The following is a 26,471-nucleotide window of genomic DNA, read 5'->3' as shown; positions in this document are numbered from 1 at the left end:
GCCGCCGGCACTTCCGGTACGCACTTCCGCCTGGTGGCCAGCGGCCGCCCAGGACCTCACCTCCCAGAAGGCCCTTCGCCTTCCTGCCTGGAAACGGCCATGCACGGGATACAAGGCCTTCTGGGAAATGGAGTTCACAGCGCTGCGGGGCCGGAAGGGGAGCGTGGGAGCTGCGGATCGTCAGAACCTCTCGGTTCTGCGCAGGCAGCGCACCGGAAGGGAAGTATATTGACATCCATGGTTTTATATGTTCTTTGAAATATACAGCGTATGTACTTTTTTCTTTCTCTACGCGCACACATGTACACACATAGATATAAAAGTATATCGTTTGGAGATATTTTTCCCCCCTGAACCTTGTATATCCTTAAGCAGATGTCCCCTAAGAACACGTACATTCTTCAACTCACCCAAGTAACGACATTGAAGCCTGTACCCAATCCCCAGCCCATATGCTAATTTCTCCAGTTGTCCCAATGTCTTACGTAGTTTTCGTCTTTTATTCAAGCACAAACTAAACACGCATTACACTCTACTGTCTCATTTCAAGTTGCTTTCAATCTAGAATGGATCCTGTTGTTTCTTTATAATGATCTTGGCAGTTTTCATGTATCCAAGCGAGTTTTCCAAAATGCCCTCCAATTTAGGCTTGTCCGTATAGAGTATAAAACAATCATAATATAATTTTACAGGTTTTCTTCCACTGACCCTGCACATTTCTCCACTAAACATTTTTTGAAAACTTTCTGAAACATGGCTAGTATTACACCGTATGAATGCCATTTCTTTATCCCCCACCTCCAGCCATTTAGCTAGAAATTGAGCAACAGGTGTATGCAGTCCCTGTACATTCCTATTTCTGTATGTCCAGGAGACTCTCTGATAACAGGCAGGCCCTGCATGATGCAAATCACCTTAATCGAGGGAGGTGCCGGGGTACAGTGTGGGACATGATAATTCCATCTACACGCAGAAGGCCTGTATGACCTAGTGGAGGAGGCTCCCAATGTGCATACTGACTCGGGTTACACCTCCCTACTCCTACCACAGTCAGATCATCACAGGGGGACTTTAAAAATTCTATCAGCTCTGGGCCGGGCATGGTGGCTCACGCCTGTAATCCCAGCACTTTGGGAGGCCACAGTGGGAGAACCACTAAAGCCCAGGAATTCGAGACCAACCTGGGCAACACAGTGAGTCCCTGTTGCTATAAATGAAAAATTTTTTTAATTAAAAAAATTTACATCTAAATAGCTATACATGACTAGTGGCTACCATGTTGTACAGTGCATTCTGGAAGATGTCCATGTTGGATCTCCTTACAAAAGACCTATGGGAGACTGCTTTTCAGACTGGATGCTGATTTCTTCCCAGTTACCCATTGCAGAAACAACTTGAATACCTTGGAGGACATGAAGATAACACTGGAAATGGGGGACTTGGCTATTGGCTAAAACTTGTATGTAGGGGGCTCTCATAATTGGGGCTCATTGATACAGGAAATTTAACAAAGTAACTTGGAAATGTATGTGTGCGCTACAGCCACCCTCCAGGGACCTTTATCTTGTATCTTTGGTATCATCGAGTTGAAGCTGTTTTACACTCAACTGTTTCTGTCAACTGAACACACACACACACACGAGTATATATAGAACAAGTATGAATATGACCAAGACACACACTCTCTGCTCATGTGAACACTGTATGGGGGATGCAGACAGTAAACAATGAAAGAAATTATCAAACTTACTTTAATTTGAAACAGTTAAGATTTTTGTTTAAATTTATTTTTTGAACTGGTAATAATTTTACATGTTTCAAAATTCCAAAAATATAAAATGATAAAGAGTGAAAATTATTCCTCATCACTGTCCTCCCAATTCTTCTGGCCAACCAGTATGCCACTTTTACCCTTTCAGAGATTATGTGTGTACATATAAACAAATGTTTCTTATTTATTTATTTATTTTTGAGATGGAGTTTCGCTCTTGTTGCCCAAGCTGGAGTGCAATGGCACAATATTGGCTCACTGCAACCTCCACTTCCTGGGTTCAAGCGATTCTCCTGCCTTAGCCTACGGAGTAGCTGGGATTAGAAGTGTGCACCACCACACCCAGCTTTTGTATTTTTAGTAGAGATGGGGTTTCACCGTGTTGGTCAGGCTGGTCTTGAACTCCGGACCTCAGGTGATCCACCCGCCTCGGCCTCCCAAAGTGCTGGGATTACAGGCGTGAGTCACCTTGCCTAGCCTGTTTCTTCTTTACATAAATGGAAACATACTCTACAGTTTGACACCTTGCTTTTATCTACTTAACTATCTTAGAGCTCTTTCTCACATTAGTATAGTTTGAGGATCCCTAATTCAAAAATCTGAAATCTGAAACACTTCTGGTCCTGAGCATTTTGGATAAGGGATACTCAACCTGTATATAAAGAGTCTTCATTTTTAAGGCTATGATCTCCATTCCACCATAAATGACTTAGCCAGTTCCCCATGGTGGACATGGAGGGTTGTTTCCAAATTCTGACTTTTAAAATCAATAGCATAATGAAAACCATGTACAAACAGTCTGCACACATACAAATATATGTGTAGGATTTATTCCCAGCAAGTTTGCTTAGACAAAGGGTTTATGTATGTGTAATTTAGATAGTGGCTGATAAACTGCCCTCCACAGAAGTTGTATCAATTCACATTCCCACTGTAAATGTATAAGAACCCCTCCAATGCCCCCTTTGAGAAAACTCAAGGCTGGTAAAATACTGGGTGGAGAGCACATTGTTACAATCCTCCTGAAAGTTAATTTAAAGAGCTACATGAAATTCATAGAGAAAATCCTCAAAATAGAGTAAGCACATGTTACAAGACAACTAGAAGGGATTCCAAATTTCTAAACACAAGATAACTATACACATATATATTCCTCTGTGTGTATGTAAAATTTAGTGTACACTATGTATGTGTAGACACACGTGTATATTTTAAGAAAAAGCTGCAAGGAAAATTAGTAAAATCCTAATGGTAAGGACCATCTATGGATGGCTAAAGTATGAGGAATTTTACACAAGTTTTCATTTTTTTTTTACTTTTATGCATTTTCCAAGTTTTGCTACAAAGAACTCGCATTACTTTTATGAACAGAAAAAAACATGTCTTTTCCCTAGTTAACAGTAATTTCCACGGAGGAGTTTCTTATCTGTTTCAAAATATCTACAAGGAAATCAGTAGGAATATCATGCTTAGAAAATGTGAACTGAAATGAGAAACAGAAAATATGCAAAGATCTGAAACACTTCTGGTCCCAAGCATTTCGATAAGGAATATTCAAGCTGTATATAGAGTCTTCATTTTTAATGAATTTTTATGATCACCATTCCACCATAAATGACTTAGCCAGTTCCCCATGGTGGACATGGAGGTTCTTTCCAAATTTTTACTTTTAAAATCAATAGCATAATGAAAACCATGTAGCCTGCACACATATAAATATATATGTAGGATTCATTCCCAGCAGGTTTGGTGAGACAAAGGGTTTATGTATTTGTAATTTAGTGACTGATAAACTGCCCTTCATAGAAGATGTATAAGAACCTTCCCACACCCCCTTTGAGAACTCAAGGCTTGTTGAGTTCCAGTTGATTGCTTCATCCCAGCTTACCACCCTGTGGGGCTGCTATAACCTCAGCCAACCCCATGCCCCCTCAGAGAAGTATCAACTGTGACCCCTTCAGGACTGGCCATTTTGGGGGCCAAGGTGGAGGGAATGAGGCAATCACAGGCCTGACTTCCAGAGCTGTCTAGAACCATGCTGTCATTTTTGGTCCCACTGCTTCAGAGGGGAGGAGCTTTCCTGTCTGGATTCCCAAGCCTGTGCCCCAAACTGCTGGTGGAGCAGAAAGGAGGAATGATCCAGAATAGGGTTTTGGTACCAGACTGTTTGGTTCACACTCTGGCTGGGCCACTTGGTAGCACATTACTTCTCCTCTTAGGGCCATCCTGCACTGTTGGTGGCAGTGGGGATGAAGTAAGCAAATCCGAAATGTTTACATGGCAAAATCAACAGGACCTCTAACTCCATGGAGTGGGGAAGGGGAGAGGTCAAGAAGACTGGTTTTCTGGCTTCCATGATGGGATGGCAAGTGGAAACAGCCTCCAGGAAAGGGATCAGGGAAGCAGAGACTAGTCTGGGTGGAAAATGAGTTTTGTTTGGGGTAGGCTGGGTTTGGGGAGCTTTCGGCACACCTCGGGGAGTTGCCCAGTAGCACACAGCAGTTGTTTGGGTCTGAAGCCCAAATCTCAGAAGCACCAGACTGATTTGGTGGTGAGCAGCACAAAGCTAGGGATGTAGATGACACCTGGGGAGGGCGTGGAGCACAAGGTGGACTCTAGGACCCCAGCATTTAGGAAGGGTGACGGGAGGTTGAGAAGTCCCTGAAGAGTTAGAAGGAACCCCACAATGCAAGGAGATGGAGCTCTGCAAAGAGGTTAGCAGGCTTCACAGTCCTGGGGATGAAGAGAGACGACACCAGAGGTAGTACCTTGGACAGTGGTTGCAGTGGGTTCTGTGAAGCAGTGGGGGCGGACAGCAGGTCTGAGGTGTGAGCTGCCACCAAGGGAATAGGGAGCACAAGCGATTCTCCCAAGAGCTTGAAGGAGAAAAGCAGCAGATACGGCTAGCTGCCTCCATCATCCACCAAGGGAATAGGGAGCACAAGCAATTCTCCCAAGAGCTTGAAGAGAAAAGCAGCAGCTACGGCTAGCTGCCTCCATCATCCACTTCCCAGGACTTTTCTCTCCCACCTGTCTCCACCACAGAGGTTAGAAAGGTAAATACGAGGTTTCTAAGCCCCGTTGTTATTAGGGGTGGCCCCCTGACCCATCTGTGGCCAGTGAGACTAAGGGGGGCATGTGCTGCAGGCTTCTGGGAATGTTTTTCCTTTAAACACCATCAGCGGTAAGTGTTGGCCTGCCCATTCCCCCTTCTTTCAGTCTTCACTGTGGATGCAATGGCTGGAGCCATAGGAGTCTCCTCATGACCACAATGGAAAGGTTGAGAGATTGCAGAAAACATCGACTGTGACACAGCTGAGCCACTGAAAAGACAGCCTTTGAACAAAGCCTCATCTGTTTAAGCCATGGTCAGCTGGGTGCTGACATCAAATTCTAACTCCACCACTTCCTAGCTTGGGCTGGTTACTTTTGTTCTAGTTACCACTAACTTTTGTCCTGTGCCAAATTTTGCCTATCTATAAAATGGTACTAACTCACAGAACTATTATTGTGGCAGTGTCGGAGGGTGCAGCATTTAGCTATGCGAATGGAGGTTATCTAAGGAGACAGAAGTGGCGCAGTCCAAGGTAGGAGGCCAGAGTTGCTGTGAAAAGTGAGAGCTGACACGGCAACGTTTTGAGGACAACCCCGAAGAGGTAAGTGCAGAGAAACGAACTTGGGCCATCCACAGGGTCCTGTTGAACCTCTAGAGATGAACCACAAAGCTCTGGCTCTGGCATCCTGGAGGCCAGCTCTGCCTTGATTGGATAGCTGAGTTGTGACACTCCCAGCATCCAAAAAGCAAAAACGGACACGGGAAGTTCTTTTATTTTTTTCGAGATGGAGTCTAGCTCTGTCACCCAGGCTGGAGTGCAGAGGCACTATCTCAGCTCACTGCAAGCTCTGCCTCCCAGGTTCACGCCATTCTCCCGCCTCAGCCTCCCGAGTAGCTGGGACTACAGGCGCCCGCCACCACGCCAGGCTAATTTTTTGTATTTTTAGTAGAGACAGGGTTTCACCGTGTTAGCCAGGCTGGTCTCGATCTCCTGACCTCGTGATCTGCCCATCTCGGCCTCCGAAAGTGCTGGGATTACAGGCGTGAGCCACCGCGCCTGGCCTGACACGGGAAGTTCTGATGCTAATGCGTTCCAATGCTCAACCATTCCAACATGGTTATTCAAATTGCTGTTTTGGGGCCAGGCGCGGTGGCTCACTCCTGTAACCCCAGCACTTTGGGAGGCCGAGGCAGGTGGATCACGAGGTCAGGAGATTGAGACCATCCTGGCTAACAGGGTGAAACCCCGTCTCTACTAAAAACGCAAAAAATTTGCCGGGCGTGGTGGCGGGCGCCTGTAGTCCCAGCTACTCGGGAGGCTGAGGCAGGAGAATGGCATGAACCTGGGAGGCGGAGCTTGCAGTGAGCCGAGATCGCACCACTGCACTCCAGCCTGGGTGACACAGCGAGACTCTGTCTCAAAAAAAAAAAAAATTGCTGTTTGGCAGGGTGCATTGGCTCACACCTGTAATCCTAGCACTTTGGATGGCCAAGGTGGGAGGATCGCTTGAGCCCAGTTTGAAACTGGCCTAGGCAATGTAGTAAAACCCCATCTCTACAAACAATTAAGAAATCTGCTGAGTGTGGTGGTGCATGCCTGCAGTCCCAGCTACAGGGGCGGCTGAGGCAGGAGAATTGCTTGAACCTGGGAGGTTGCAGTGAACCACGTGACAGAGCAAGTCTCCATCACAAAAAAAAAAAAGAAAAAGAAAAAAGAAAAATTCCAACCAAATGCACTGTGTGGATCTTGTTTAGATTATGATTACTATGAAACAAATAGAAAACAAAATTTATGAGGCAACCCAGAACATCTGAACACTAGGTATTTGATGATATCTGTTTAGATGTGATAATGACAATATAGTTCTACTTGAGATTTAACAAAATTAATTTTTCCCGTTTCATCACAGAAATTCAGTGAAAGTAGGCCAGGCACGGTGGCTCATGCCTGTAATGCCAGCATTTTGGGAGACTGAGGCGGGCAGATTACTTGAGGTCATGAGTTTGAGACCAGCCTGGCCAACATGGTAAAACCCCATCTCTACTAAAAATACAAAAATTAGCCGGGTGTGGTAGCGCACACCTGTCATCCCAGCTACTTAGAGGGCTGAAGCATGAGAACTGCTTGAACCCGGGAGGCGGAGGTTGCAGTGAGCCAAGATTGTGCCACTGCACTCCAGCCTGGGCGACAGAGCAATACTCCATCTCAAAAAGAAAAAGAGGGCCAGGCGCAGTGGCTCATGCCTGTAATCCCAGCACTTTGGGAGGCCGAGGTGGGCGGATTATGAGGTCAGAAGATCGACACCATCCTGTCTAACATGGTGAAACCCCATCTCTACTAAAAATACAAAAAAGTAGCTGGGCAAGATGGCGCACACCTGTAGTCCCAGCTACTCGGGAGGCTGAGGCAGGAGAATGGCGTGAACCGTGGAGGTGGAGGTTGCAGTGAGCCGAGATCACGCCATTGCACTCCAGCCTGGGCGACAGAGCGAGACTCCGTCTCAAAAGAAAAAAAAAAAAAAGAAAAGAAAAGAAATTAAGTGAAATTAGCTTTTCTTTTTCTTTACTGCATTTCCCAGTGGAGAAGAATATGAACAACCAACCTCAGGGCTACTGCCCTGCTTTGAACTCAGGCTCAGCAGTTTTACCTGCCATTGCTTTCACACTATCAGTGCACAGCAAAAATGTGAAATGACAGCTTAGTATGATTGTGAAAATGGTTTTGTCCCAGTGGACAAACATGGTTATATATATATCCAGGGAAGGAGAATGGTGGGGAGGTAGATGGGAGTACCAGCAAAAATATATGACTCATGTTTGAAAATGTCCACAATACATCCTTAAAGGTTACTCAGAAAAATAAGTGGCTGGGCACAGTGGCTCATGCCTATAATCTCAACACTTTGGGACGCCAAGGTTCGAGACCAGCCTAGGCAACACAGTGAGACCCTGTCTCTGCAAAAAATAAAAAAAATCAGGAATGGTGGCACATGCCTGTGGTCCCAGCTACTTGGGAGGCTGGGGTGGGAGGATCACTTGAGCCCAGGAGGTCGAGGCTGCCAAGTGAGCAGTGATTACAACACTGACTCCAGCCTGGGCAAAAGAGTGAGACTCTGTCTCAAAAAAAAAAAAAGGATTATCTTCCTTATTTCACATCAATTATGAATGCTGCAAAACCGTAAAGGATGTACTAAAAAGTACATCATGTATAAACTAGCTAATGATGCCATCTGTTAAAATCAAGCTTATATGATTTCTAGTCTAGTCCAGCCCTGATTAATCAATTTGAAGGTTTTTTTTCTTTTCTTTTTTTTTTCTGAGACAGAGTCTTGCTCTGTCACCCAGGCTGGAGTGCAGTGGTGCAATCTCGGTTCACTGAAACCTCTGCCTCCCAGGTTCAAGCGATTCTCGTGCCTCAGCCTCCCCCAGGTAGCTAGAATTACAGGCGCATGTCACCACACTTGGCTAATTTGTGTATTTTTAGTAGAGATGGGGTTTCGCCATGGGCCCAGGCTAGTCTCAAACTCCTGACCTCAAAGGATCCGCCCTCCTCAGCCTCCCACAGTGCTGGGATCACAAGCGTGAGCCACCACAGCTGGCTGCAAGTTTTAAAAATGTCAGCTACATTTCTGGGCTGGGTTTATACCCAGGTGGCTTCTCCACCTTGGCACTATTGACATTTGAGCTAGAGAATCCTTTGTTGAGGAGCTGTCCCGGGCACTAAAGGATGTTGAGCAGCGTCCCTGGCCTCTACCCACTACATGACGGCGGCACCCTTCCTCCAGGCACAGCAACCAAAAATGTCCCTAGATGTCACCAAATGTGCCCTGGAGGCAAAAGCACCACCAGTTAAGAACCTCTGGCTCAGCTGGGCATAGTGGCTCATGCCTGTAAACCCAGCACTTTGGGAGGCCGAGGTGGGTGGATCACGAGGTCAGGAGTTTGAGATCAGCCTGGCCAACACCCCATTTCTACCAAAAATACAAAAATTAGCTGGGCGTGGTGGCAGGTGCGTGTAATCCCAGCTACTCGGGGGACTAAGGCAGGAGAATTGCTTTAACCTGGGAGGCGGAGGTTGTGGTGAGCAGACTGCGCCATTGCACTCCAGCCTGGGTGACGGAGCGAGACTCCATCTCAGACAAAAAACAAAAAAAAGAACTTCTGGCTCATAGCAACACCAGATGTTTTTCAAGAGGAGCTGTGACACTCCCCTGCACGGAATGCTGTGAAATTTCGTGGGGGCTGGTCACGTAATTGGGTTGGGGGTGTGGTTGAAATGTGGGCAGGAGCCATGCATGCTGCCAAGATGGTGAGGAACAGAACTGCCCCCAGTGGACCACATCAACAGATGTGGAATAAGCAGTTTTCAGGGTATGAACTGAGAACCTAACTGGACTTCACACATAAGCACAAACTAATTGCTGCATGCTTGGAATTTACCCAGAATTTCCCAGAAATGCAATAGCATATTATGTTGTTAAAAACTTTTCCAAGAGTTAGTCACTACTTTGGAAGGTCACGTTCCACATGGGAAGGCCCCTCACAGTATTGCCATGGTCAACATCATACCCTCTACCAGTCCACAAGCAACAGGCTATTGCCCTAGGTCTCCTGGCAAAATTGGGCCCACAGTGACAAGGAGAAATACTGCACCAAGTCAGTACACGTTACTCTACAATTTACTCTACCATAAATTACTTTCATTTTAATGATCCTTTACAAAATGGGGCCGCATATTGATTTTTTTTGACATTACACAGGTGGGTAGGTTATATTACCTGTGAACTCACTGTGGTGTAATGGAAGGAATGTCACAAAATATGTCGCTAAAGAGGGCACTGAGTTTGATAGATTTGGGACCAACCAACCTCGGGTGCTTGGGAAGCATCATTTCCTTAGAAAGTCAGAAGTCACCCATGACATTTCTACCCCCAGCCCCTCCTTCCATGAGTACACTATGTGGACTTACCACATTTTTTACTTGTGGTTAAAAGTCATCAGCAAAGTTTCTCTCCTATGTGGATTCTCTGATGTCAAATAACATGGAAGCACCCACAGAAGGCTCTTCCACCCCAATAACGTGCACAGGGTTTTTCTCTTGCATGATTTTTTGGATGTCAAACAAAGCCAGGGCTCTGCTTTCCGGCTGCCCTGCCTTTGCTCCGCCTGCAGAGCTCTTTCTGGAGTTCGGGTGTTGATGCTGAACCAGGTGTGAGTTCCTGCTCGAGGATTGTTCACGCCGCCGGCTTCGCCCATGGGGCTGCTCCTCTCTGGTGTGAGTTATCTGGTGCCGGATGAGGTGAGAGCTCTGAATGAAACACTTCCCACACTGATTACATTTGAAGGGTCTGTCGCTTCGGTGAGTCCTCTCATCTTGACTCAAAGGTGGGTCACAGCCCAGGGCTTCTGTCCATTCATGCTTTGTGAGAGCTGGCGTCTGCTCAAAGATCAGCCTCTGGCGGCACTCAAAGGGCTTCTCCCCCGCGTGCTTCCGCTGGTGCTGGGCCAGGGATGAGCTGTGCCTGAAGCCCTTCCCGCAGTGGTTACACTCGTAGGGCCTCTCCTCGGTGTGAGTTCTCAGGTGCAGGAAAAGGCAAGTGGTCCGAGAGAAGGATTTCCCACACACACTGCAGGTGTATGGCTTCTCCCCAGTGTGTGTCCTCTTGTGCCGCCCCAGGGAGGAGTTCTGGTTGAAGGCCCTCCCACAGTCCTGACACTCATAGGGCTTCTCCCCAGTGTGAATCCTCCGATGGACGGTAAGGTGTGTACTATGGCAGAAAGACTTCCCACATTCGGCACACTTGTAGGGCTTGTCTCCAGTGTGGATGCGCTCATGCTGGACGAGGGAGGAGTTCTGGCTGAAGGCTTTCCCACACTCCTTGCACATATAAGGTCTTTCTCCCGTATGAATCCTCTTGTGCACGGTGAGGTGTGCGTTATGGTTAAACGACTTCCCACAGTCAGTACATTTGTAGGGTTTGTCCTGCACCTGGCTTTTTGTGAGTTCCGTAATTGGAATGGCCTGACTGGAATCTCTGTGACAGTCACTGTTTTCACCGGGCTGTTTTCCTGGGGAGCCTGTCTGCTGACTGACTAAGCTGGAGTTATGTTCTGAGTCTGTAATCTGTGAGTCGTAAGTATACAAATACTCCCCTCTAGAGATCTCTGGGAATGGATTTGGGCTTGAACTCAGGACGCAGTTTTCCCTGAGTCTGAGAGTTTTGTAGCCTTGATCTTGAACTGGTGCTTCCTTGAGGCCAAATTCCAACTGCTTCAAGTTATTCTGCTCCTTGAGTGCCAGACTCTGGCTCTGACACTCCCTGTCTTTCCCTAACGTGGTGGGATAAGGAGCATCTGTCGGGAATCCTTCCCTTCCCGTGACATGGGATGGCTCCTCTTCAGGCAGGCCCTCTTCCTTGCGTGATGCTTGGCTTTCAGATCGAGGCTCCCAGGCTGAAAGAAAACCCAAAGATCTCTGAGCTGTTGGGAGAAAAAAACGGAAGGGGGACAGGCCTCCAACACCATAGGCCTGATATTGAAATGGGGTCCTAACCAGCTGCCCTGGCAAGTCCCCTGATTCTCCTCTTATTTTAACATCAAGTGCCCTCAGACACGGCTCCACTCATTCAACAAACATTTATTGAGCACCTGCTGTGGGCCATGCACTGGCAATGAAGTCAAGGTATATGAGTTCCCTGTTTGCTGCTGTAACTTAAAACACACTTATTATCTTATAGTTCTGGAACACAGAAGTCCTAAAATCAAGGTGTTGGCAGGGCTGGTTTCTCTTCGGGAGGTTCTGGGGAAAATCCTTGCATCTTCCCGTTCCTAGAGGCTGCCTGCATTCCTGGCCCTTTCCTTCACCTCTAGAGCTGAGCACAGCATCTTCAGATCTCTCTCACTCACCTCTGCTTCTGCTGTCACATCTCCTTGTCTGATTCTGACCCTCTTGCTCACCCAGTATCCAAGATAACCAGTTCTGGGGATTAGGACAGGGACTCTGTTATAAGCCAGGCTTCCCGCTTTCCCCAAGCCCTCTTCAAGCCCCCTCATCTGCTCTTGTCCTGACCAAAATACAGGTCATGTGTTCATTCATTCTGGGTACACCTCACCGCACTAGAATGTTCACAGCCAGTGCCTAGAAATGACAAGTAGTAGAAGCTCAAAAATATCTCTCAGTGAATGCTGAAGGAACGTATCGAGGGAATGAATGAATGAGAGCTTGACAACGGGAGAGATAATGGAGGAGCTGAGGCTGGCCAGGTGCCAGGCTTCCTGCTCTGTCACCTCTGGCCCCCAAATATGACTCTCTGGCTAGGCCCGGTGGCTCATGCCTGTAATCCTAGCACTTTGGGAAGCCGAGGCTGGAGGATCACTTGAGGTCAGGAGTTCAAGACCAGCCTGGCCAACCCTGTCTCTACTAAAAATACAAAAATTATTCGGGTGTGGTGTTATACACCTGTAGTCCCAGCCACTCAGGAGCCTAAGGCATGAGAATCGCTTGAACCTGGGAGGCGAAGGTTGCAGTGAGCCAAAATCACACCACTGCACTCCCGCCTCGGCGACCAAGCAGAGACTCTGTCTCAAAAAAAAAAAAAAACTGACTCTCTACATAGCACCCAGAGGTTTATTCTAAAATATAAGTCACTTCACACAAAAATTTATACACTAATGTTCATAGTGGCACTATTAATTAATAGCCAAAAGTAGAAACAACCCAAATGCCCCTCAACAAATGCATAAACAAAATATGGTCTATCCATACGACGGGATATTATGCAGCCACAAAAAAGAACAAAGTACTGACATACGCTACAACATGGATAAGCCGGAAAACATTCTGCTGAGTGAAAGAAGCCAGATACAAAGGTCACAAATTGTAAGATTCCATTCGTATGGAATATCTAGAACAGGCAAATCCATAGAGAGAGAAAGTAGGTTACTGGTTGGCAGGGGATGGGAAAGACGGAGAGTGACTGCTATGGACTGAATGTCGATAGCAAAATTCCTATGTTGAAACCCTAATCCCCATTGTGAGGGTATTTGGAGATGAGGCCTTTGGGAGGTGATTAGGTCACGAGGGTGGGGCCTTTAAGAATGAGATTAGTGATCTTATAAGAAGAAATACCACAGGGCTTGCTTCCTCTCTCTGCCATATAAGGGCACAGAGAGAAGGCGGCCTTCTGCAATTGAGGAAGGGGCCCTTACCAGGGCCCGAATCAGCTGGCACTGTGCTCTTAGAATTCCAGCCTACAGAACCGTGAGAAATAAATGTCTGTTGTACAAGACACCCAGGCGGTGGTATTTTGTCACGGTACCCCAAGCTGACTAAGATGGTGATGAAATGTTCTGGAGTTAGATAGTAAAGATAGCTGCACACAATCTGAGAATATACTCAAAACCGCTGAGTGGTACATTTTAATAGGTGAACTTATGGTATGTCAATTTTATCTTGATAAAGCTATTATGCAAAACCAAACAGACCCACCCTCCTCCCCACTGCAAGCCAGCCCTGGTCACTCCTCCATTCACTCTGCAGTCACTTCTGAGGATGGACACGACCCTGTGCCCTTCTCCACCATGCCCTGGCTCGTCTCACCTCCTGACTCTTGCCCCACGCCCACTCTGCTCCACATGGCTCCTCACATCCCTCTAATGCATCCCCCATACTCCTTCCTGGGGCCCTTTGCACCTGCTGCTCCCTCTGCCAAGAACCCTCATCCCCAGACATCTGCCCACCTTGCTCCCTGTGCCCCAGTTTGAGTCACTTTCTCAGAGAGGCCTCCCTGCCAGTCCCGGGGCATGAGCACCCCATCTTGCCCTCCCCAGGTGCATTTCCTTTACGGCCTCATCACTGCCTGGCACTGGCATCCATCTCTCAAGACTTCCATCTCCCAGATGCTGAGTGAGGGCTCAGCCTTTCCTGTCATTCTTTGCTGCATCCACAGCACAAACAGCAGCACATGGCAGGTCCTCAGGAACATCCATGGAACAGGCTCGTGAGCTGGGAGACTGCCTGAGAGACAACACGGACGAAAACACAGAGACTAAAGACAACACTGTGACCCCAGCCAAGACTAACGCTGCCTGCTGGGAGAGTGCGGAAGAACATCCGGAGGAGGGGGACTTGAGAACACTAGTGAACTGGCCTGGCCAGGAACAGCAAAGAGCACTGAGGTTGAGACAGGCTCCAACTCCAGCCTGACTCCTGGCTGCCCAGAACAACTCACTGATCCTGGCACATGGGAAGCCATGGAGTCTCCGAGAGAGAGGGTGAGCAGTTGATGAAGAGAGGAAATGGGAGAAGAGCTGGGACTGTAGTCAGCCAGGAGGTGACCTGCAGCAGGTGAAGCTGAGCAACCGCAAGAGGGAACCAGTAAGGAATGATGCCAGACGAGTGACAGGGGCCAAGGAGGGGCTTGAGATCGCCCAGCCATCCCTGAGCCCACAAACCCCTGTGAGTGCACTGGGAGTGGGATCTGCCTGGACAGGGATTCTTCACCATTATTTTATTTTATATTTGAAATAAGGTCTTACTCTGTCACCCAGACTGAAGTGCAGTGGCATGATCTCAGCTCACTGCAACCTCCTGGGCTCAGCCTCCTGAACAGCTGAGACCACAGGCATGCACCACCACACCCAGCTAATTTTTTTGCATTTTTTGTAGAGATGTGGTTTTGCCAGGTTGCCCAGGCTGGTCTTGAACTCTTGGACTCAAGCGAACCACCCGCCTCGGCCTCCCAAAATTCTGGGATTACAGGCGTAAGCCACCATGCCTGGCCTCTTTTCCTTTATTTTTTAATGCTCTGTTGCTCAGCCTGGAGTGCAGTGGTGCAAATTGTAGCTCACTGTAGCCTTGAACTCCTGGGCTTAAGCAATCCTCCCCGCTCAGCCTCCTAAGTAGCTAGGACTACAAGAACACACCACCATGCCAGGTAATTTTTAAATTTTTTTGTAGAGACGCGGTCTTCTTCTATTGACTAGGCTTCTTTTCCTTAAAAATAATAAAAAAAAAATTTACTCTCTATTTTAATCATGTGGTATGCTGAATAACGGCCCCTCAAAGATGTCCCCATCCCAATCCCTGGAACCTTATGTGGCAAAAGGGATATTGTAGCTGTGATTAAGAATCTTGATGGCCGGGCGCGGTGGCTCACGTCTGTAATCCCAGCACTTTGGGAGGCCAAGGCGGGCGGATCACGAGGTCAGGAGATAGAGACCATCCTGGCCAACACGGTGAAACCCCGTCTCTACTAAAAATACAAAAAAAAAATTAGCCGGGTGCAGTGGCGGGCACCTGTAGTCCCAGCTACTCGGGAGGCTAAGGCAGAATGGCGTGAACCCGGGAGGCGGAGCTTGCAATGAGCCGAGATTGCGCCACTGCAGTCCAGTCTGGGGAAGAGAGCGAGACTCCGTCTCAAAAAAAAAAAAAAAAAAAAAAAGAATCTTGAAATGGGCCAGGCGCGGTGGCTCACGCCTTTAATCCCAGCACTTTGGGAGGCTGAGGCGGGCGGATCACAAGGTCAAGAGATTGAGACCATCCTGGCCAACATGGTGAAATCCCATCTCTACTAAAAATACAAAAAATTAGCTGGGCATGGTGGCACGGCCTGTAGTCTCAGCTACTTGGGAGGTGGAGGCAGGAGGATCGCTTGAACCTGGGAAGGCGGAGGCTGCAGTGAGCCGAGATCACACCACTGCACTCCAGCCTTGTGACAGAGCGAGACTCTGTCTCAAAAAAAAAAAAAGAATCTTGAAATGGGAGATTATCCTGGGGCCCTAAATCTGACCAAAGAGTCCATATAGGAGGGAAGCAGAAGGGTCTGAGTCAGGGAAGCGGTTGTGATAATGGAAATGGGTCAGAGTGAAGCACTCTGAAGATGGAGGAAGGGTCTATGAACCAAGGAGTCTGGGCAGCCTCCAGCTGCTGAGAAAGACAGAAATGCATTCTCTCTGGGCGCCGTCAGAGGAACTAGCCCTGATGAACCATTTTGAACTTCTGACCTCCACAACTATAAGAAAATAAATCTGTCCTTTTTTTTTTTTTTTTTCTTTGAGACAGAGTTTTGCTCTGTCGCCCAGGCTGGAGTGCAGTGGCATGATCTCAGCTCACTGCAACCTCCACCTCCTGGGTTTAAGAGATTCTTGTGCCTCAGCCTCCTGAGTAGCTGGGATTACAGGCATGCACCACCACACCTGGATAATTTTTGTATTTTTAGTAGAAACGGTGTTGTGCCATGTTGGCCAGGCTAGTCTCGAACTCCTGGACTCAAGTGATCCGTCTGCCCTGGCCTCCCAAAGTGCTGGAATGATAGGGGTGAGCCACTGCGTCCAGCCAAATCGGTGCTTTTTCAAGCCACCTAGATTGTGGTACTTTGTTACAGGAGCAACAGGAAACTAATACAAAGCATTACATGGAAAATATGTTTCTGTCTTAACATAAAGCCTTGAAAACCTTCTGCTTCTGGAGTATTTATAACTGTCTAGGTATTAAGTTATTGAAACTGTCCATCATGATTTTGACCCCATACTCCTAATCCATGCAAGCACAACATTTTGCTTAGTATTTATGGGCACACGTTTTAGATCCTGGATTTGGTTATGGCATAAGACTTGTGAGTGACAGGCATATGTCCAGGGTGATGAGAATTTGCTTCCGACATACATGTCTGAAGTAACAGCAGTGACAACCGATGAAAGGGGCAGGAAAACAGGGTCTGCAGCAGATTCACCCGACTCCCAGTTGATAGGTCATACGCTATCATGGGGGCATATGTGTTTTTCTGCAGAATCAGAAAGCCCTGGGTGGCATCAGAAGTATTTGGGTGGGAGGCTAATCTGCAGGCATTGCTGGTTGTACATCCCATGGCCAGATGCTATTTACTCTAGAATGTGGTCAGGGTACCAACACACAAGCCACAGCAAGGGGACCATGACTCGCCCAAGCCAATTATGACAATCTAGACACCCCTAGCTTTCCAGCCTCTCTAGCAACTAGGGTCAGTGCAAGAGGAGGTGACCTAGTTCTGGCTAAAGAGACCCCAGCAGGTGACATCTAGAGTTCTGCCAAAAGGGGACAGATGTGGCTGGCAGAATTCTTCCTACCTCTTCCCCTCCTTCCTGCATGGAGCACAACTGTGATGGCTGGAGCTGCTGCAGCTGCACTGTAATCCCAAGGACAGCCTGGGAAAATCACAGAACAATCAGCCCTGGCACCTCTGAGATGCCAAGACAGTACCAGCAGACTCAGGGCTCCTGTTTTACAAGAAAAATGCTTCTTTATTTTGAGCTGCTCCAACCTGGTTTTAGGGTATTTATAGCTAAACACAATTCTTCCTCATAAGAGAATAAAGAAGGGTGTGGGGAACAAGTTTACAGAATCTAGACATGTGACCAGGTACAGTGGCTCACACCTGTAATCCCAGCACTTTCAGTGGCTGAGGCAGGAGGACTGTTTGAGCTCAGGAGTTTGAGACCAGCCTGGGCAGTGTAGAAAGATCTCATCTCTATTAAAAAAAAAAAAAAAAGGACACACAAACAAACAAAAAGTCAGGCATAGTGGCTTACGCCTATAATCCCAGCACTTAGGAGGTTGAGGCAGGATTGCTTGAGCCCAGGAGTTAGTTTGAGCAGCCTGCAGCCTGGACAAGATGGCGAGACCCCATCTCTAAAAAAAAAAAAAAAAGGAAGAAAGAAAGAAAAAAAAAGAAAAAAAGTAAAATAATTTTTAAAAAAGAAAAAGAAAAAAATCAAAAAAATCAGCTGGACATGGTGGTACACACCTGTAGTAACAGCTACTAGGGAGACTGAGGTAGGTGGAACACTTGAGCCTAGGAGACTAAGATAATGCAACTGTACTCCAGCCTGTGCAACGGAGTGAGACTGTCTCAAAAAAAAAAAAAAAAAAAAAAAGGCCAGGTGCAGTGGCTGATACCTGTAATCCCAGCACTTTGAGAGGCCAAGACAGGAGGATTGCTTGAGCCCAGGAGTTTGAGACCAGCCTGGGCAACACAGTGCAACTGTGTCTCTACAAAAAAATTTAAAAAGAAAATTAGCCAGGTGTGGGGGTACACACCTGTAGTCCCAGCTACTCAAGAGGCTGAAGCAGGAGGATCATTTGTGACAGGAAGGCTGAGGCTGCACTGAGCCATGATCACACTGCTGCCACTCCAGCTTATGCAACAGAGACGGTCTCAAAAAAAAAAAAAAAAAAGCTGGGCATGGTGGCTCACGCCTGTAGTCCCAGCACTTTGGGAGGCCAAAGTAGGTGGATTGCTTGAGCCCAGGAGTTCGAGCCCAGCCTGGCAAGATGGCAAAATCCCATCTCTACTAAAAATACAAAAATTACCAGGGCGTGGTGGTGCATGTCTGTAATCCCAGCTACTCGGGAGGGTGAGGTGGGAGGATCATTTGAACTAGGGAGGTCAAGGCTGCAGTGAACCGTGATTACGCCACTGCACTCCAGCCTAGGCGATAGAGTGAGACCCTGTCTTAAAAACAAAACAAAACACAAAGAATCTGGACATGCAAGAATGAAATGGAGAAGATGAAGGGCAGGTTCACATATTAGAAATGATGCCACAGAAAGGACATGCTGAGAAGGATGGTGAGAGAGGGAATGACCTGGAACCTATAAGGGAAGATGAAGCAGAGAGGGAGGAAGGGGTGGGATTCTCAGCACTGGAGCACAGGTGATGACCTCTGAGCTTAGAAGATGGGGAGCACAGGTGAGAAGGCTATGGAGCACTGTGCAGAAAAGATTTAACAGGGCAGGCCTGAAACCAGCATTCTTAGGAGAAGCCTATTCACAAGGTTAGCCTTTGGCTGCAACTGAGAATTTGGATTTGGGGATGGTTCCCACAACCCTAACTGATGAGAGTGGTTTACTACACCCACACTGCACACACTATGTGGTTTATTCCAAACACTGGCTTTCTCCTGGTAGTCTGGAACCTTGGTCTGTGCTAGGCAGAGAGTGTCTATGTGGCAGCCTCAGTCAAAACTCCTAGCACTGAGTCTCTTAACAAGATTCCCTGGTAGAGCTCATGTCTCATGAGGTGTCACACCTGAGTGCTGGGGGAGCCTGGCACATCCTGAATGACTCCACAGTGAGGGGACTCTGGAGGCTCATGCCTGGCTTCCTCTGAACTTATCCCCACGCGCCTTTCCCCTTTGTTGGTCTCATTATACTGAGAGCTGTCAGCATGACTCTATGCTGAGTCCTGTATACTCCTAGTGAATGGGGTGGTCTTCAGGACCACCAACCACCACCCTTTCCATGAAGTGCATCTCCAGTGACCTGCTAGGCTGCTCCCATTAGCTGCTCCCACATAGTGGGTTCTCACCTGGATGGCAGCCCTGGGTGGTTCCTCTCTCAGCCACCCATAGCTCGGTCCCTTGCTCCAGCTGGGAGATGACTTCAGGCTTCGGAAGCTCAGGACCTGGAAATGGGGAAAAACACAGGAGGTGAGGGGCTGCTCAGGAGAGAAACAACAAGCCCAGGCTCCAGACCAGACTCCCGACTGTGAGGACACGTGGGCACCTCACAACATGGTGAAGCTCTGCATGGTGATGGAAAAGGGCAGACCTCCCTCTTCATGCACTCCCCATAGGGAGTGAGGACCCAAGGTCAGGTCCTCACACCAGAGGCCCCATGACTTATAACCCAGAGAGAATCAGCTATCACACCTTGCGAAGCAGGGCTTACCTATGGAGAGCAGGTGACCAAAGGTCTCCAGCATCACGTCACGGTAGAGGATCCTCTGGGTAGGGTCCAGCTGCCCCCATTCCTCCTGGGTAAAGTCCACAGCCACATCCCGGAAGGTCACTGGTTCCTGAAACATCACACACATTCTCAATCAGCTGGACTATCTCCATCAGTGCTTTCTGGCAGAGGAAGAATGGAAAAGGAGAAAACAGGCAGGCCTGTGTCACGAGAGACTGCACGTTATGAATGATGGGAGTCAGGTCTCACTGGGCACCTATTAGGCCACTACACATAGGTGTGGGTTGTACAGTGAGGACATGTGAGAGGACTCACCAAGATCAACAACGCCAGGCAGAGCTGACCTACATCTAACAAGACAGACGAGGGTACCAGCAGAGACTGGCCTAAACCACTTATTTGCAGGTTTGTGAGCTAAAGAAACAGTTACTGTTTTAAGTAAAACAGATACTGTTTTAGGACAGTGTTACACAGCAGCTAACTAATACACTCACTAATACTTAGATACAAAGTGAAATTGGCTGGGCCACATGCCTGTAATCCCAGCTACTTGGGAAGCTGAGGCAGCAGAATCGCTTGAGCCCAGGAGGTGGAGGTTGCAGTGAGCCAAGACACCACTGCACTCCAGCTGAGGCGACAGAGTGAGACTCCATCTCAAAAAAAAAAAACAAAAAAACAGGTTCACCATCCTTCCTGAAAAGAGAAGCACACAGGGCTGGGGTCAGAAATTCGCCTGCTTTCAGGGCAAGGCAGGCTCACATGACAGAAGTGGGCCAGTTTAAGAGCCCACAAGGACACTTACCTATGAGTGGTGGGACTGGAGGTGATGGGGAGCATGGACCCTGTCTGAAGGAGCAGCAGGGACTCAGAACTCACTGATTACGGGAAAATACAGGTCCCTTTGTCAGAACTGCTCATCTCTGAAGAGAAGCTGAAAATTAGGTCAGATTTTTATGTGAAAAATTATTTTTCTTTTTGAGGTAGAGTCTTGCTCTGTCACCCAGGCTGGAGTGCAGTGGTGCCACCTCCACTTACTGCAACCTCTGCCTCCCAGGTTCAAGTGATTCTCCTGCCCCAGCCTCCGTAGTAGCTGGGACTACAGGAGCGCACCACCACGCCCGGCTAATTTTTGTATTTTTAGTAGAGATGGGGTTTTACCATGTTGGCCAGGTTGGTCTCGAACCCCTAGCCTCAAGTGATCCACCCGCCTCGGCCTCCCAAAGTGCTGGGATTACAGGCGGGAGCCGCCGCGCCTGGCCTTTACGTGAAAAATTCTGATTTTTATAAGTTGATGCAACATTACCTAAAATGTGTCCCATAAACAAAGCCCTTCTGCAGCCATGCTTGAAAGCCAGATATTTCTGGATCAGAGTCTTGGCTCAGTCACTTCGTCCCCAAGAAGCATCTTTGCTTCCCAGTTTCCATGTCAACAAAGCATCACCCCTTGGGGGCTGTATAATGATTAAGTGGTTTACAAACACTTCCTACAGGACATCTGGATAGCCACATGGAAAAGAGTAAAGATAGTCCCTGTCCCAGCATATTTTCTGTTGCTGTAACAGAATATCACAGACTGAATAATTTATTATTTTTTTTTTCTCGAGATGGGAGTCTCACTCTGTCAATCAGGCTGGAGTGCAGTGGCACAATCTTGGCTCACTGCAACCTCTGCCTCCCGGATTCAGTTGATTCTCCTGGCTCAGCCTCCTGAGTAGCTAGGACTACAGGTGCACGCCACCACACCCAGCTAATTTTTGTATTTTTTAGTAGAGACAGGGTTTCTCCATGTTGGCCAGGCTGGTGTCGAACTCCTGACCTCAAGTGATCCTCTCGCCTTGTCCTCCTAAGGACGAAGTAATTTATAAAGAAAGTTGCTTTTTTTCTCTCTCTCTCTTTCAATAACTTTGATGAAGACAGTTTATTTGTGGGCTGGGAGCGGTGGCTCATGCCTGTAATCCCAGCACTTTGGGAGGCCGAGGCGGGCAGATCACGAGGTCAGGAGATCGAGACCATCCTGGCTAACACGATGAAACCCTGTCTCTACTAAAAATACAAAAAATTAGCCGAGCGTGGTGGTGGGCGTCTGTAGTTCCAGCTACATGGGAGGCTGAGGCAGGAGAATGGTGTGAACCCGGGAGGCAGAGCTTGCAGTGAGTCAAGATTGCGCCACTGCACTCCAGCCTGGGCAACAGAGTGAGACTCCGACTCAAAAAAAAAAAAAAAAAAGAGTTTATTTCTTACAGTTCTGAAGGCTGGGAAGTCTAATATCATGGTACTGGCATCTGGTGAGGGCCTTCTTGTTATGACATAAGATGGTGGAGGGCATCACATGGCGAGAGGGCAAGAGTGTGCCAGCTCAGGTCTCTCTCTCCTTCTAAAGCCACTAGTCCCATCAAGGGAGTCCAATCCTGATAACCTTATCTAATCCTAAATTTCTCCCAAAAGTCGCCACCTTCAAATACTATCAACACATGAAATTTGGGAGACACATTCAAACTAACACAGACTTCTATCTTATATCATATATAAAAATTAACTCAAAACAAATTAGGCTGGCTGGGCAGAGTGGCTCATGCTTGTAATCCCAGCACTTTGTGAGGCTGAGGCAGGCAGATCACTCGAGTCCAGGAGATCAAGACTGGCCTGGGCAACATGGTAAAACCCTGCCTCTACAAAAAAAATTTGAAAAAAATTAGCCAGGCTGCCTGTAGTCCCAGCTACTTGGGAGGCTGATGTAGGAGGAGTGCTTGAGTCTGGAAAGTGGAGGTTGCAGCAAGCCAAGATCATGCCACCGCACTCCAGCCTAAGCAACCAGAGTGACATCCTGTCTCAAAGAAAAAAAAAAGAAGAGAAAAAAAAGAAATAAAATAAAATAGAAACAAAGCCATAAATGTAAGAGGCTGGGCGCAGTGGCTCACGCCTGTAATCCCAGCACTTTGGGAGGCTGAGACGAGTGGATTGCCTGAGCTCAGGAGTTCGTGACTAGCCTGGGCAACATGGTGAAACACCATCTCTACTAAAATATCAAAAATTAGCCGGGCGTGGCAGCGTGCTCCTGTAGTCCCAGCTACTTGGGAGGCTGAGGCAGGAGAATTGCTTGAACCCAGGAGGCAGAGGTTGCAGTGAGCCGAGATCATGCCATTGCACTCCAGCCTGGGCGACACAGTGAGACTCCATCTCAAAAAAAAAAAAATTAAATTAAATTAAAAGTAAGAGCTAAAACTATAAAACTCTTAGAGGAAAACAGAGAGATAAATCTTTGTAACCTTGGATTTGGCAAGGGATTCTTAGATATGAAACCAAAAGGATAAGCAACTAAATGTAATCAATTGGACTTCATCAAAACAAAAACTTTTGTAGTTCAAAGGACATTAGCAAGAAAGTGAAAAGACAACTCACAGAATGGGAGATAATAATTGGGAATCACATATCTGATAAGAGACTTGTATCTAGAATATGTAATGAACACATACAACTCAGTAATAAAAAGACAACCCAGTTAAAATAGGCAAAGAATCTGTATAGTTATTTCTTTGAAGAATATATAAAAGAAGATACACAAATGGCAAATAAGTACATGAAAAGATGTTCAACATCATTAGTCATCAGGGAAATGAAAAATCAAAACTATACACCACCAGTGTTGCTGCTAGGTTAAAAAACAAAACAAAACCACATATACTAAATACTTCAATTTTTTTATTTTTTATTTTGAGACAGGGCCTCACTCTGTTGACCAGGCTGCAGTGCAGTGGTGCAATCTCGGTTCACTGCGACCTCCATCTCCCTGGTTCATGTGATTCTCCCACCTCAGCTTCCCAAATAACTGGGATTACAGGCATGTGCCACCAAACCCAGCTAATTTTTGTACTTTTAGTAGAGATGGGGTTGCACCACGTTGGCCAGGCTGGTCTTGAACTCCTAACCTGAAGTGATCCATCTGCTGTGGCCTCTCAAAGTGCTGGGATTACAGGCATGAGCCACTGCACCAGGCCCCAAATACTTCAATTTTAAAAGGACATTTCCTTTTAAGAAAAACATGAGTAGATTAAAAAATAAGAAAGAAATTTTAGTACAGGTAGCAGGTGGCTCTAATAGGAAACATACAGAAAGATGCCTTTGGTTGGGAACTGAGGTCTCTGCTCCTGTCTCTGTGTCTTCGCTTTCCTCCACTCAGAATGCCCACCAATTTTGATTTGTGCTTCCCGTGCCTCCTGCCCCCACCTCCCATCATCACCCATTCTGCAAGAGTCACTGGTGACAGCCTAGACACCACGTCCACTGAGTACTGGTCTGTCCAAGCCATGAGAATTCTCAGTGGCATCATACAAGTCCTTCATGCCTCCTCTTGGCTTCCTTCTTGGAATTCTAGCAGAAGCCCACTCCTTGTTGTCTCATGATGTTCTTTCTGCCCTACATCAGATCCCTGCAGCCTTCCCTCTTGTCTTGCACTTCTGGAGCCTGAAGGGGTGGGGCTGTGCTCTGATGTTTCTCCTTTACATATTCTTTTCACCCCAGCATCAGCCAACACCTGGTCACTGGGCCTAACCACTCCTCTCTTTTTCCCACTGCCTTAGTTGAGCTGCCAGTATCTCCCTTCCCACCAGCCCCTAATGCATAAGTGGATTTTTTCAACCCTATGCCAGTCCTGCTTAAAACACGTGAATGGCTCCTTCTCATCACTGAATACTGGATGGCTCCTCTCAGCCTGGCTATGGTAGACTGAGATATATAATGGCCTCCAAGGATATCCAGGTCCTAGTTCCTAGAACCTGTGAATATTACTATATATGGTAAAAGGAACTGTGCAGATGTGATTAGGATTTTCAAACAGAAAAATTATCCTGGATTATCCAGGTGGGCCCTAAATGCAATCACAAGTGTCTTTATAAGAGGTAGACAAAGGGAGCTATGACTATAGAAGACATAAGGCAATATGATCACTGAAGCAACATGCTACAATGCAGGCTTTGAAGACAGGCAAAGGGCCATGAGGCAAGGAATAGAAGGTCTGTACCTCTCACAGCTGGAAAAGACGAGGAAACATTCTACCCTAGAACCTTGGTAGGGAGGGTAGCTCTGCTCATACCTTGATTCCAGACCAGAAAACCGATTTCAGACTTCTGACCTCCAGAACCTAAGAACAAATGTTTTAAGCCACAAAATTTGTAGTGAATTGTTACAGCAGACACAGATAACCAGATAAAACACTGGACCTTGAAGCTCTCCATTCTGGTCCTTGTCTCCTGTGATGGACAGTCTCCAAGATGCTCCCCCACCACCTCTGCCAATGACCTCCAGCCCTGGTGTGGTCCCCTCCAACACTCAACAAGGTTGACTTTGTAACCAGTAAGACACCGTGGAAGTGACAAGAGTGTGAATTCTGAATCCAGGTCATGGAAGGTGTTACAGTTTCTACCTTGCCCTCTCCTGGATCACTTGTTCTGTGGGAAGCCAGATGCCATGTTGCAAGGATCCCTAGCAGTTCCAAAGAGAGGCCTACATGGAGAACAACTGAGGTCTCCTATCAACAGACATGTGAGTGAGCCATCCTGGAGGTGGATCCTCCAGACTCAGGTCTCAGGTGACAACAGCTATGCTGACATCTTCACTGTAACTTCATGGGCCTGAACCAGAACCACCAGCTAGGACATTCCATTACTCCTGTCAGAACTCGTGAGATATTTATTGTTGTTCCAGGTCACGAAGTTTTGAGTTACACAGCAACAGGTAACTAATACACTTTCTCTCAAGCCTTTCTTACGACTCATTCCTTGTCCCCCATCCACAGCAAGAACAAAATAAAACGTGGTAGCATTTCATGCAAATTTGGAGCAACACACATCTGAAAACCTGCAACCTAAGATTATCAAGTCTCACTTTGTGTACCAAATCTGAAATAATGCAAATCCCCATGAACAAACCAACGACAAAAAATAAAAAAAAGTATAATTTCAAAGTTGCAGAGCTTGAGGAAGGATAATTATTGTTGTTTCCTGCCACGCGAGGCAGCTTTATGGAGAACACAGGCCGCAACCACTTTGTCTAGAAAGTGGAGCTCTGATGGCCAGATGGCCCTGCAAACACTGACCGCCCTGCACTGCAGTTCTCCCACAGTCTCGCAGGGGACGACCCTGGTGGTCACTCTCATCACACTCAGTGCGTGGTGACCCATCATTGCCCCCAAGAGGTTGTGCCCAAGCCCCAGGGCAGGGGCTCCGCGGTGCTGGGGTCCCGGTGGGTGTCCGCTGACTCCACGCGTTAAAGCATCTCTATTCGATGATTCTTGCCATCTGGGCACCCGGCCAACGCTACAATTACTGTTATCAGTCAACACGAGGACAGACCTTCCTGGAATGGGCAAGGGTGTCGGCGGGGCGGAGCAGAACGCAGGAGATGGGCCTGCTCGATTCTCTCGGGAATGACCGACCCCAGCCCTGGGGAGGACAGAGCCGCGTGGAGCATGCGCATTCGGGGGCCAGGCGCCTGGTTGGAATCCCGGCCCCCTCTCTGACCAGCCAGGACGGTCACCACGCCCCGACCCGCGTCTGAGTTTCCCCACGTGTCAAGGGCATTAACAGCGGTGCCGCTCTCATCGCGCCGCGAGGTGAAAGGGTCAGTCTGCGCGGGAGACGCTTGCCCGGAGCCCGCCGCCGTCGTTATTGTTGTTATTGTTACCTGAAGCCGGGCCGCCGGCGGCCCCACAGACATCACTCCCGCTACCCCTTCGTCCTCGGGGTCCATGCTGGATCGCCCAGTGAAGGACAGCGCCTGAGGTGATCCCCAGACCAGAGAGGCACTCCAGCCAAAGGGACCACCCGACTCGCCGAACGCCGGACAATGGCGGCCGCACCGGCGACGCGGCGACTACAACTCCCAGTAGGCCGTGCGGCGAACCACAGCCCTCGGCCAATGGGAGT

General features: G+C 47.8%; 1 protein-coding gene and 1 long non-coding RNA gene across 2 annotated transcripts in view, besides 3 other annotated features; both read right to left on the bottom strand.

Annotated features, from left to right (window-relative positions):
• Nucleotides 1-26,411, bottom strand: part of ZNF8-ERVK3-1 (ZNF8-ERVK3-1 readthrough (NMD candidate)) — a 36,692-nt gene extending 10,281 nt beyond the window's left edge. Inside the window, exons 1-4 of the long non-coding RNA NR_144447.1 lie at nucleotides 24,768-26,411; nucleotides 19,534-19,660; nucleotides 19,172-19,267; nucleotides 9,796-11,279 (exon numbers count right to left, since the gene is read on the bottom strand). This is a non-coding gene — a long non-coding RNA (ZNF8-ERVK3-1 readthrough (NMD candidate)). The remainder of the gene's footprint in view (nucleotides 1-9,795; nucleotides 11,280-19,171; nucleotides 19,268-19,533; nucleotides 19,661-24,767) is intronic.
• Nucleotides 9-278: an enhancer, noted in NCBI's record as "active region_15183". NCBI's record gives its function as "activates an Ori minimal core promoter by ATAC-STARR-seq in GM12878 lymphoblastoid cells {active_cell/tissue: GM12878}" and the evidence as "EXISTENCE:reporter gene assay evidence [ECO:0000049][PMID:35858748]".
• Nucleotides 2,586-26,422, bottom strand: ZNF8 (zinc finger protein 8). The gene is made up of 4 exons (NM_021089.3): nucleotides 26,230-26,422; nucleotides 19,534-19,660; nucleotides 19,172-19,267; nucleotides 2,586-11,279 (listed from the first exon to the last, which is right to left on the bottom strand). Exons 1-4 carry the CDS (start codon nucleotides 26,293-26,295, stop codon nucleotides 9,841-9,843), a joined length of 1,728 nt encoding a protein of 575 aa, NP_066575.2. The 5' UTR covers nucleotides 26,296-26,422; the 3' UTR covers nucleotides 2,586-9,840.
• Nucleotides 25,827-25,876: an enhancer, noted in NCBI's record as "active region_15182". NCBI's record gives its function as "activates an Ori minimal core promoter by ATAC-STARR-seq in GM12878 lymphoblastoid cells {active_cell/tissue: GM12878}" and the evidence as "EXISTENCE:reporter gene assay evidence [ECO:0000049][PMID:35858748]".
• Nucleotides 26,297-26,346: an enhancer, noted in NCBI's record as "active region_15181". NCBI's record gives its function as "activates an Ori minimal core promoter by ATAC-STARR-seq in GM12878 lymphoblastoid cells {active_cell/tissue: GM12878}" and the evidence as "EXISTENCE:reporter gene assay evidence [ECO:0000049][PMID:35858748]".

The sequence above is a fragment of the Homo sapiens genome, chromosome 19 (genome assembly GCF_000001405.40).
Source record: "Homo sapiens chromosome 19, GRCh38.p14 Primary Assembly".
Lineage (NCBI taxonomy): Eukaryota > Metazoa > Chordata > Mammalia > Primates > Hominidae > Homo > Homo sapiens.
The sequence above is the reverse complement of the archived record's forward strand: the minus strand, read 5'-3'. Positions and strand labels throughout refer to the sequence as shown.

Excerpts from the sequence above, each read along its gene's own strand:
- ZNF8 (NM_021089.3), bottom strand. The coding sequence starts at position 26,295 with ATGGACCCCGAGGACGAAGGGGTAGCGGGAGTGATGTCTGTGGGGCCG. Across the intron at positions 19,661-26,229 it reads CGCCGGCGGCCCGGCTTCAG|GAACCAGTGACCTTCCGGGA; the intron begins GTAACAATAACA and ends GTGATGTTTCAG. Across the intron at positions 11,280-19,171 it reads CACCCAGGGCTGCCATCCAG|CCTGGGAGCCTCGATCTGAA; the intron begins GTGAGAACCCAC and ends GTTTTCTTTCAG.